Raw genomic sequence first — 13,053 nt, 5'->3', positions numbered from 1 at the left:
TAGCCTATAAATGTACCAATGTCGTTCTGACACATCAAGCATAAATTTGAGTTTGAAAGTCTCACTTGGCTGGGTTTTACAGGTGTCCATATTGTTCTGACTATGATAAGAGGTGACATTTGGGCCATTGTGGATATGCTTGTGCTGTCTCTAGAAAGTGTTCACAATTTCCTTTTGTTCTATTTCAATTTTTGTATCTAGATCATCTTCTTTCACCCAGTAACACATTAATTGTAGCAGCACAGGTTACATAGTCATGTAGATATAGACTGGGTGTTTGCTGGATAAATTATTTCACCCAAGATCTGCAGATTCTGCCCAACCAACATGGCATGGCATTAGAACTGGCTTAATGGTGACTTTTAGAGCTTATGAGAGACTGTGAGAAAACTCAAACAAGAGAGCCGAGTAGCACATACATCACCCACAATCCTCTTCTCTGATTTAGATGGCAACTTCCGGAAGAAAACTTGGGGAATATGCAAAAGAAAACAGCCTATCCAGACAGACCAGCCAAGTGAGCCCTGGTGATTGCGGGAGTGACAGGGATCGCATGCAGATTGACCTCATGTCCAGCTGAGTTACACTGGTATTTTTAGAGTTTTCATCAGGGGAAAAAAAGGAGCAGGAAGGTGACCATATAATTAATTCTCAAGACTGGAACAATTGTGATTATAAAAGGGGATGATACTAATAATTACACTAGGAAAATCAGCATAAACCAGGACTGTCCTAGCCTGGAAAACCTGGAACTCATGATTCCCCCGGATAGCACTAACCCAATTACTTCCTTTCAAAGGTTCATATCTTAATATAGAAAGCCTGGCAAATAAATGCATAATCTCTAGAAATCAGTAAACCGTGAGAAAGGTAAGTTCAAGAGTACATTGGGGAACAGAGTGGGTCCGTGTGATTAATAATATTTGGGGAAATAGTTTAAGTTGCCTATCATTGAAGTATAAATTGATTTAGAATGGGAAACTCTTATCAGCTCAAATGAGAATAGCCTTGGAGGTAAATAATGTGTGGGTAGGAAATGTTTTTACGTGCTCCTCTCAGGATATATGTAGTATTAACTCTTTCTGGCCACTAGGGGACCACTTAGTACTTTGCACATGGCATTCAACTGCTTACATCATTTTGCACATATACTAAGAACAGGAGGCTAATAGCATCAGGGGCCTGTGACATCTCTTGCCTATACCGCACACTCCTGTAATTGATTATATGATATTCTTGTCTAGTTCCTTTAAGTACGTTAGTTTGGTCACTTATAACTCAAGGACTCCTTAGATATGTGTTGAATCTTTGGTGCACCTTGTCAAGTGCCTGGGGAAGAGCTGCACATTCAGTGAGAATGTGACCATTGTTTTTCATTTTTTAAAAATTGAATAACAGTTCTTCCTGGGAACTTCCCTGGCCCTGCACTAAATGTTGAACTCTCACCTCAGGTAATAATTTGAGCCCTGGCGAGAACAACAACAATAAAACTAAGTAAAAATTATCACATGCCTACTAGGTACCAGGCACTATGTATTTATTTACGTGTGTGTGTGTGTGTGTGTGTGTGTGTGTGTGTAGTGTCTAATCCTATAATTTTTTCCAAGAAAACTCTGTTTTCCTCATATTAGAGACGAAAAAACTGAGACTTAGGTTGAATTACTAATGAATTCATATTGATGGGGCAAAGGTATAATTGGATGAGGGGATTGAATTTGAATTACCAACTAATTCATATACTTGGGGGCAGAGATGAAACTTGAATCATTGTCCAAAGTCCATATATTTTTTTCGTGTTCCATAAGCACTAGGGAGAAAAGCCAAATGATCACCTGGTTCTTATCATGACATCAGTGATCTTCCAAGCAGGGACTTGCCACTCCACAAACAGGAAATCTTTCACTGGTATACTTTTTTGCTGTGGACATGGACTCAGTACAGAAAACCCTACTCCAAGCTGTCTGCCACCTAAACATCCATTCATCCTCTAAGGTCAGTTTCTGCATGGAGAATTCAGCATCCTCAATAATTTCTATTAGTGCTCACGAGCAGGCATTTTCTGATGTGGACACCAAACATTTTATCCTATTATTTTATTTTATTATCCTTTTATGTAGTTCTTATAGAAAATTATATATATATATATATATATATATATAGCCACATCCATTGCTGCCACATGCCAATCACTAGAGCATCCTACACAGAAATTCTGGAGCAAGTACATCCACTACCCTCAAGTACTACCACTATCATCCTACTTTTCACACCATATTATTGTTTTTAAAAAATTTAATCTGAGTGCTGTGACAGAACAAAGCCATATCTTATTTATCTCTGAATTCCTAATCCTGAACATACTTACTGGCACATGTTGATCAAGAAATAGAGAAAAAAGTGCCATTCCAGATATCAACTGAGAGTCAATTTCATTTCCGGTGGAAAATCCAATGTGTTCCCAACATTGCTGGGAGGCCTCTAGATGCAGTACCTTCTCGGAAATACTTGCCTGTAACAAATTCTTCTCTGCCCGGCATTGAGCAGCTGCTCCTTTATCTCTGCTCTGAGACTGACCCAAATCGTTTTTCCAGAGAGAAGTTTTATGACACACAGCAACACAAACACAAACAGTGAACACTGAATATTTGGCATCTCCGGGCAGAAAAATCCATCTGCAATGCTGCCATGTTTCCCTGTCATCGCTTTTCTCACCTATTCTCTGTTCATTTTTAATGTAACACAGCTGATCTATTCCTTTTGTTTTCTTTCCTCCTTCTAAGGTATCACCTTCCATTCCAAGGGACTTCTAGAATTATTTTGTAAAGTATATTCTTTGTTAATTCTTAAGATATTAATACAATATAATTTTTAATCACATAATAGAAGCAAGAAAAGAAGGAAGGGAGGAAGGGAGAGAGGGAGGAAAGGTATGGAAGCCACTCAAAACTATCAGCCTCTTACTAAATCATATAAATTTCTGGGGCATTCTCTCTCTCTCTGTCTCTCTCTCTCTGTCTCTCCTCTGTCTCTCTCTCTCTCAAGAGTTTTAATGACATAATTAACATAAAATAAGCAGCATATATCTAAAGTGCACAATTGGATGTTTTGACATCTATATACACTTGTGAAACTATCATCACAATCAACACAATGAGTATATCCATCACACCAACATGTCCCTCAGTTCCTTTATAAACTTATCCAACCTTCTCCATCCTCTACTCCCTACTCTGCCCCATAAAATCACTCACCTGTTTTCTGTCACTATAGATTAGTTGGAATTTCCTATGTTATATAAATGAGATCATATAGTATTTACTCATTCTTGTCTAGCTCTTTTGTCAACATAATTATTTTCAATTCCATTTTATAGATATACCAAAATGCATTTATTTATCCATCTGCTCATGAACATTTGGGTCATTTCTATTTGGGGCTATTATAAATAAGACTGCCATGAACATTTTTGTACAATTATTGGAACGTTTTCATTTATTTTGGGTAAATACCTAAAAGTGGAATGTCTGTATCATATCGTAGGTACTTGTTTAGCTTTTTACAAAACCACCAAACTGTTTTCCTATTGGCTGTACCATTTTACATGTCCCCCAGAAGTGTATGAGAGTTCGAGTCTCTTTACATCCTTGTCTACATGAAGTATGATCAGCCTTTGAAATTTTAAACATTCAAATGGATGTGTAATTGTACTTTGTGTTACTTTTAACCCGCAGTTCTTTAATGAATAATGTTGTTGAACATCTTTTTGTATGTTTATATAACATCCATATGTCTTCTTTGGTGAATTGTCTGTCCAGATCTTTGGGCTTTTTTTTTTTTTTTTTGAGACGGAGTCTCGCTCTGTCGCCCAGGCTGGAGTGCAATGACGCGATCTCGGCTCGCTGCAAGCTCCGCCTCCCGGGTTCACGCCATTCTCCTGCCTCAGCCTCCCCAGCAGCTGGGAGTACAGGCGCCCGCCGCCACGCCCGGCTAATTTTTTGTATTTTTAGTAGAGACGGGGTTTCACCGTGTTAGCCAGGATGGTCTCTATCTCCTGACCTTGTGATCTGCCCGCCTCGGCCTCCCAAAGTGCTGGGATTACAGGCATAAGCCACCGCGCCCGGCCCTCAATTTGTTCTTTTATAGAACCAATCTGTCATATCGAAGAAGACTTTTTTTTAATCATATCTTGGGAGTCTTTGGTCATATCTAAGAAGTCTTCACCTAATCCAAGTCACAAAAATGTTCTTTTTTATTTTCTTCTAGAAGTTTTACAATTTTAAGTTTTTACATTCAGTTATATCATTCATTTGAGTTATTTTTATATATGGTGATAGGTATGGATCAAAGTTATTTTAATATATGAATATTCAAATTTTTGGCACTACTTATTGTTAAGAATATATTTTCTTCATCGAATTGCCTTAACACATTTGTTAAAATTCAGTTGTCTATAGACTCTGTCTTCTGTTCCATTGTTTTATTGTCTGTATGATGCTAATAGCATATTGTCTTAGTAGTACTTTTACAAGTCTTCAAATCAGAAAGTGTTAGCCTATCAACTTTGATCTTTTTCAGAGTTATTCTGGCTATTCTGAGAATTTTGCATTTCCATATAAATATTGAAATCAGCTTGTCAATTTCTATCAGAGAAAAAATCCCTGCTAGGATTTTGATTTGGAACGCATTGAATCTATACATCAGTTTTGGGAAGATTAATATCTAAACAATATTAAGTCTTTTGACCTGCAAAAACAATACATCTTTCCATTTGGTTAGATTTTCTTAAATTTTTCCCAGGAACGTTTCATAGTTTTTGGTGCACAGATCTTTCACACATTTTGTCAAATTTATCCTTAAGTATTTTATGCTTTTTATACTATAACATATGTGATATTTAAAATTTTTAATTTGCAATAGCACATTATTAGTATATATAAATACTTTTGTATTTATACCCTGAAAAATTCACTTAATATTTAGATTTTGTATAAGTTGCATATAATTATTTACATAATCATGTAGAAATGCAAATTAAGAGTTTTACTTCTTTCTTTCCAACTTGGATGACTCTCCTTTCTTTGATTTATTACACAGGCTTGAGTCTTTCATGTAATGTTGAACATAGTGGTAAGAGTGAATATCCTTATCTTCTTCCTAGTTTTAGGAGGAAAGCATTTAATCTTTCACCGTAAATATGATGTTAGCTACAGGTTCTCCATAGATGCTTTTATCAGAATGGGTAAGCTCCTTTCTAATCCTGGTTTGTTTGGAGTTTTTTTTCCTTTGTCAGGAATAGATGTTGGACTTTATCAAATGCTTTTTCTGAATCCAGTGAGAAGATCATAAGGATTTTCTTTTTTGGATTTTCAAATGTTAAACCAACTTTGCATTTCTGAGATCAATGCGATCTGGTCATGATACATTATCTCATATATATATATATGAGATAGATAGATATATATATACCCAGAGAGAGAGAGAGCTGGATTTGACTGTCTAAAACGTGTCTATGCTCATGAAGAATGTTGGTCTATAGTTTTCTTTTCTTGAAATGTCATCCAGAATGTGGTATCAGATTAATTCTGGCCTTATAAAATGAATTGGGAAGTAATTCCTCCACTTTGGAGGAAAAAATACACATACACAGAGAGAGAGAGACAGAGAGAGAGAGAGAGAAAATTCTCATGGAGCTATACAAAATAAATTCAATTCTTCATATTTTAAAACCACTATTTTACATCTTCTTTTTGTTACACAGGTTTCTCATGTGATACGCCCTTCAGAACCTTGACTAGCATTATGCTCCTCATTTTGAGATGTGACAAATGTTTTATTTCCTCATTAAAATGATATTATGAGAAGACAACCCTAGTAATTTTCTTATCACTGCATTGAACAACAGAACCTTCACATCCCTTAATTTTGCCACTTAACTTTTATTAATGCAGCCAAAGATTGCTTTAATACAAACTAAATGCTTCTTCACCATTACTGCCATAAAGCAATGATGTTGTGTTACAACCAAAACCAAAGGAAACCCCAAATGAAAGGACTCTGTCCTTTTATCCCTGAGAGTAAACCTTACTCTGCTCTTACCCAAATAAGTGAGGATTCCTCTTCTTAAACAGACACAAGGGAAGATCTAAGGAGTGAAAACATCTTAGTCCTTTGCTGGTGACTACAGCAAAAACAAACAAGAAAACAAAAATCTATGAGTACCATGAAAACTTTTTGTTGGAAGGTGCTTTACAAGTGCCTAAGAAGCCAAGTTAGTGGCCAAAGAGGAGATCTAGGAATTATGAAAAAATGTGTGGCTAGAGACGAATGGACAACTACAGTTATTGACACCAACAGAACTCTTCTCTTCTGTTTCTATAAATCTTTTGATTCAAGACGATAAGATTTGTTACTTGTACTTTGGCCTAAGTGAATAAAAAAAAAGAAGGACTTGATATGAAAAGAAGCTCTTATCAGTGTCACAATAATATCAGACATACCTTGAGATGACTGATAGTACTGATACTACCTGTCTCCCAACTGCCGTTCTTTGTCCCAATACGACCTGGAGCAACTTAGATGAGGACTTCATGGGTTAGATTTATTTAAAGTATATTGACTTTTTCATAGAAAATGAGTTCTTGTGAAATTTAGCAGGATGATTGATAAATAGTAGGTAATTCATAAATATTTACAACATAAATGAGTAGGTAATTAAGTAAATGCTCACACAGTTCAATAGCAAAATACCAAATAATCCAATTAAAAAATAGTCAAAGGACCTGATGAGACATTTTTTTCCAAAGACATATGAATAACCAACAGGTGTATGAAAAGGTGCTCAACATCACTAATCACAAGAGAAGTGCAAATTAAAACCACAATGTGTTATCACCTCACACCTGTTAGGATGGCTATTACTAAAAAGACAAGAGATAACAAGTATTAGTGATGATGTAGAGAAAAGGGAAACTTTGTACACTATCGGTGATAATGTAAATTGTAACAGCCATCATGGAAAAACTTATAGAGGTTTCTCAAAAAATTGAAAACAGAACTACCATATGCCAGCAATCCTACTTCTGGAGACATATCCAAACACAATGAAATTAGTATCTCAAAGAGATATCTGCATGCCTATGTTCATTGCAGCATTATTCACAACAGCCAAGATATGAAATCAACTGAAGTATACATCAATGGATGAATGGATAAAGACAATGTGAGATATGGATGTAGATATATAACGGAATGTTATTCAGCCAGAAGAAAGAAGATAATCCTGCCATTTGCAACAATATGGCTAAACCCGAAGGACATAATGCTAAGTGAAATAAGCCAGACACAGGAAGATAAATACTGTGTGACCTCACTTATGTGTAGAATCTAAAAAAGTTGAATTCATAGAAACAGAGAGTGGAATGATGGTTGCCAGGGGCTGAGGGGTGGGAGAAATGGGGAGATGTTGGTCAAAGGGTACAAACTGTCAGTTATAAGATAAGCAAGTTCTGGGAATCTAACGTATAGCATAGGTGATGATTGATGTGTTAATTAATTTGATTGTAATAATCATCACACGATTCATACATATTTTAAATCATCACATTGTATACCTTGAATATAAACAATGTTTGCCAATAAATTTTTGAAGGCGAAAAAATAAAATTGAAGATAAAATATTTTTTAAAGTAAATAACTAAAAAACCAAAAACATAAGAGAACAAATGAATGAATGCTGTAATCATCCAGGATAAGGGGACAAATTGGACCTAATTATCAAATTAGAATAATTCAAGGAAGGTTTATTTACAAAGCACTGAATGCAAAGTCATGAGTAGGCTGTAGAGGAGCCATAAGGGATAGTGCAGAAATCCTGGGCCAATAGGAGTAGAGCTATTGCCACTCCTATACCTAAAGGATGAAGGAGGAAGAAGCATGAAGGTCCATTGATGTAATCTGTACAGGTCAGCTCCCAAGGCAGGGAGCGGGCAATAGAATGGTAGAGCGTAGATCTGGAGGAATAAGCAGAGAATATTCAGTGCAATCAGCTATGAGCCAGGTCCCAAAGCAATGAGCTCTGGAAAAGGAATAATTGCCAAAGGAGCAGGCTCAGCTTCAAGCCATAGAAGGAGAACCTAAATAATTTGGTATAATAGGTAGGAAAAAAGATGTTTCTCACATGGTGTTTTCTGGAGCACAAGCACATGAAAATGTTAATAGTATGACCCCCCCAAAAAGTATCTACTCTCAAGTTTACCAAAGACTGATTTTCCAGCGGGTCAACGGGACGGATTTGATAACCTTCCTTTGAAGGCAACAAGGAGGTGTCATTGACCAATGAAAAGAATTTATAAAAAGGACCTGCATTGGTGTACTATTGACTGGTCATTTTGAAACTATGAACAAAACAAGTTCTTAAAACCTAACTTCTTAAGTCAATGCCAAAATGAGAATTTTGAACTAAAAAAGAACAGAACATGAGCATCTACTGTACTAGTATCCAAAATCGAATAGTCCCCTCTGGGCAAATTTACTATTATGATCTCATAGCAGACAGGCCGTGGCCTCTAATCTCTCAGCTCATGCCTTTTTTCTTTTGCTCACGTTAGTCTGGTGATAAATGATATAGAATTTCTCAGAGAGAGAGAAAATTATGCCCAATATAAAAAGTGGTTGAAAAAAGCTGATTACAGAGTCATTAGCCCCTGTGGGCTCATTTTATTGCTATAAAGTCATCATTCAAGTAGACATATATTTAGCTTCTGCGGCCTTCATTTGTGGTAAGCAAAATAACCTCAGACAGAAAAAAAAAGGGAGCCTAAGTTCAAACTTCCTATTTTTAGTGATGTGACAGCCAATTTACTAAATTAGAAAAGCCCAGAGCAGAAGCAGAGAAATGTCATCAGCTTATGTTCCTTGTGTGTGCTGTGTGCTGCTGAGAGCACATCTGTGGACAGGCTTAATCCTAGGTCACATATTCTATGAGAGGCACTTAAAATCCAACACATGACCAGAAGGTACCAAGGACAGTGAGAAACTTACACATCTTGATATATGAGAAGTAGTTGAAGAGACGAGACATAGCCTGGTAAACAGAGGCCTATATGAAACACACAGTCTTTTTTATTCCATTTAAGGGCTGGATAAGGGAGGTAGATTTATTATCCAGCTAGATCCAGTAACATGTGGACAAACACTTTCAATTGGCAATGAAACATTTGTTCATCCATTTATTCATCCATTCAATAAATATTTATTGAGCAACTATAATTTGTCATTTATTGCGCTAGGTTCTCAAAGTTAAAGGAGAATTTATTAGCAAACACTGTGATTTTAAAAAATCACGAGCTCCTTATCACCGGTGGGTTTGTAGCAGATACTGGATGACTATCTGTGAGTGGTATTATAGAAGGGAGAACTTCCGTCTCCCTGCGAATCACACTCTCTGATTTTTTTTTTTTTTTTTTTTTTTTTTTGAGGCTGAGTCTCGCTCTGTCACCCAGGCTGGAGTGCAGTGGCGAGATCTCGGCTCACTGCAAGCTCTGCCTCCCGGGTTCACGCCATTCTTCTGCCTCAGCCTCCTAGTAGCTGGGACTACAAGGCGCCCGCCACCATGCTCAGCTAATTTTTTTTTCTTTTTCTTTTTTTTTTTTTTGTACTTTTGAGATGGGGTTTCACCACGTTAGCCAGGATGGTCTTGATCTCCTGTCCTCGTGATCTGCCTGCCTCTCTGATTTTAATGTGCACAAGAATCACCCGAAGCTTGTGCAATTGTACATCCTAATGCAATAGATCTGGGCTGAAGCCTCAGATTTTGCATTGCCAAGTTCTCAGGTGATTCAAATTCTGCTGCTCCATGGGCCACACTTTGATTAGCGAGACACAGATCACTGCCTCTCCAGTATTCTATGATTTTAGTGGGAATTCTGTGTCATCTCAGATGCCTTCTCTTGCCTTTCAGATAAAGAAACAAAATTAGAAGACATTTTCTTGTCATATATCCATCAGTAAAAGTGATAGAGCATGCAGCTGGCTTGGAGTCCAGCTCTGCATCCCACCTTCCTACTACAGTCAGATTAAACACATTCAGAATATAAACTGCAAACCATGGGAAAAGGATGTGCAGTAGTGCCCCTTATCCATAGTTTCACCTTCGTCTGTTACGGTAACCCGCAGTCAACTGCAGTCCAAAAATGTTGAATGAAAAAGTCCAGAAGCAAACAATTCGTATTTAAATCATATTTAAATTTAAAAATAATTCATTTTAAATTGTGCACCATTCTGAGCAGCGTGATGAAATCTCTTACACCATCCCACACAGGACATGAATCATCCCTTTGTCCAGCATATCCATGCTTTCTAGGCTACCCACCTATGAGTCACTTAGCAGCTGTCTTGGTTAACAGACCTACAGATCAAAGAAGAAAAGTGAGTACAGAACAATAAAATATTTTGAGAGCGAGGAGACCACAATCGTATAACTTTTATGATGGTAGATGGTAATCGTTATATTATTGATGTTAATCTCTTCCTGTGTCTAACTTATAAATTAAACTTTATCATAGGTATGTATGTATAGGAAAAAAAACATAGTATATATAGGGTTCTGTACTATCTGCACTTTCAGGCATCTGCTGGGTGTCTTTGCAAGTATCCCCCTTGGATAAGGGAAGACTACTCTACCAGTGTCCGGTCCACTCTCCAAGTCTGAGTTCATAGCTCCCCTCCTTGGGCTTCCCTCAGACCTAATCTCGTCTTCTATCAGCACTTTGCATACTGCTCACTATCCAGTACTGACTTTGTTTTGTTTGCCCCACAAATGTGACATTTGGTGCTTTTTTCCCAGGTTCAACCTTAGAGTATTACAGCAATGACCTTAGTACCTGCCCTATTAATTGTCCCACTGTAAGGACTCAGGTCTCTCAGTAAACATCTTTACCCTTCAGTTCAGAGTCAATCTCCCTGAAACTGTTTTCTGCCACAAGGGTCATCCTGTCTTGTGCGGGGATTAGGCAAATAGAGGGTGTTGCAATGAATTTGTCATCTCAGGGAACCCAGAATACTCTCAGGTTTCCAGAAATTATTAGAAAGGCAGAGTTCATCCAGGATAATTTCTAGATACTGTCTATCTTTCTTCTTTAAGTAAAAGCTAAAAGGAGAATGTTGATAGAACTGATATTAGAGATTCATCTGCTAATAATAGTTGCAATCTCCAGAAAAACTGGGATTCCATTTAGTTTACCTTCTGAGGTAACTAAATGTTTACAAGCATAGAGACGTATTCTATTTTACAGGCAAAAGTTCCAAATCTTCTCTATCAAAAATCCATTCTTAGGTGTTTCTGTACAGTTTTGATAAATTTGACTACTAATTAAGTAAATTGAAAAAAAGACAGCAAGAAGACATATAATCATTGGAAGAAACTGGAGAGGTTTGAGTAAGTATAAGCAAATTCTTGACCCATTTTAAACAATATCACTCAATTTTTGCAACACATATTCAAGTTTAGCAACAAAGAGAGGTGAGCTGTTCCATCTCATATTTATGTTCACCATCTATAAACTCCCATAGAGTTTCTATTGGAAATTGCCCCCACTAATAACTTGATGAATTCTATTAATTCTATTAATTTGCCACATATTAGACTTCCTTCCCAGAAAAATTATAAACTTCTTACAGACAGGAAATATGTTTTTTCTTTTGCATTCTCTTCAGTGCTGTGTACCTACTAGGGACTTAAAGAATGTTTGTTGTTTGATTATTGAAGTTAATATAAATATTTTACCGGCAAAAATAATATTATACCTGTTTTCTATTTGGTAAGGAGTGAATCTGTTGCAACTGGTGCTAAGGAGGCAGGGAAACTGTAAACATGGCAGAGATCTCTTGGACTACTGTTTTGAATTCTAGAAAGAAGGGCGGGGCAGATATTCTCGGGGGTAGATGTGTCAACCCCCTGCCATTAGAGGGAGTAAGAGCAGAAGGAAACTGAGCAGGCCTTTACTGTCTCTCATTTCACCACATTGCCCCTGGTGGCCCACTGCTTCAGAACTACCATGATATCTACCTGTACCTAAGAACAAAATGATGTGAGGACACCTTGTTGCTAAGATATTCAGCCAAAAAGACAGGTGTGTGTTGCATGGACCATGTTTGTGTGGTGATAATTTGAAATACTTCATAATGAACAGCCATATGACTTCCTTTTTCTCTTTCCAGATATAAAGTTGTGCCACTCTCTTTCCCATATTCCTCTTCTCTGGCTCCTCAGTCATCACTAAGAGGTCTCTGCCTCTGTCTGGGTCCTGGGCTCTGTGATGGCTAATTTTATGTTTTACCTTGGCTGGGCCCTGGTGCTCAGATATTTGGTCAAATGTCATCTGGTGTTTCTGTAAGAGTGTTTTTGGGTAAGACTTACATTTAAATCAGTGGCCTTTGAGTAAAGCAGATTTATCTCCATTTTGTACGTGGGCCTCATCCAATCAGATGAAAGTCTGAAAAGACCAAAGACTGGCCTTCCCAGAGCAAGAGGGAATTCTCCAGCAATTGGCCCTGAGACTTGAACTGCAACATCAGGTCTTTCCTGGATCTCCAGCCTGCAAGCCTACCATGGAGATTTAGGACGTGTTAGCCTCCATAATCACATGAGCCAATTCCTTAAAATAAATCTCTCTTTATATGTATATACACTTCCTGTTGGTTCTGTTTCTCTGGAGAACCCTGATGAATGCAGCTTCTTTCACTGTGATATTTGGAAGTTGATTCTTTCTCACATGGCCACAACAGTCACAAAACATTAAAAGAAAAACCATCCAATGGAGAAGACTCTGACATAAAATTTGCCTGTCCCCAGTTTCTGAAAAGACTTAAGCACAGTGCCAACGAAGGAAGCAGCTGAATAAACTGGAGTTTTCTGTTTCTCTGACAGTACACTTCTCAAGCAGGACTCGGTAGTACATGAGTTAAACTTCCGCTTCATCCATCTGCCAGGACATAAAGGCTGTTCTGTTAAAGTTGGTAAGAAACGAAAGAGTGAAAGGAAAGACAGTTCAGTTG

The 13,053-nt window shown here is 37.4% G+C and overlaps 1 long non-coding RNA gene across 1 annotated transcript; it reads right to left on the bottom strand.

Annotated features, from left to right (window-relative positions):
* Positions 1-6,098: 6,098 nt before the first annotated feature.
* LOC107985186 (uncharacterized) lies at positions 6,099-12,591 on the bottom strand. The gene is made up of 3 exons (XR_001753401.1): positions 12,416-12,591; positions 10,370-10,405; positions 6,099-6,178 (listed from the first exon to the last, which is right to left on the bottom strand). It is a non-coding gene; the product is annotated as an uncharacterized LOC107985186 (long non-coding RNA).
* Positions 12,592-13,053: the final 462 nt, after the last annotated feature.

The sequence above is a fragment of the Homo sapiens genome, chromosome 18 (assembly GCF_000001405.40).
Source record: "Homo sapiens chromosome 18, GRCh38.p14 Primary Assembly".
NCBI classification, from domain to species: Eukaryota; Metazoa; Chordata; class Mammalia; order Primates; family Hominidae; genus Homo; species Homo sapiens.
This window is presented reverse-complemented; position numbering and strand designations above follow the sequence as displayed.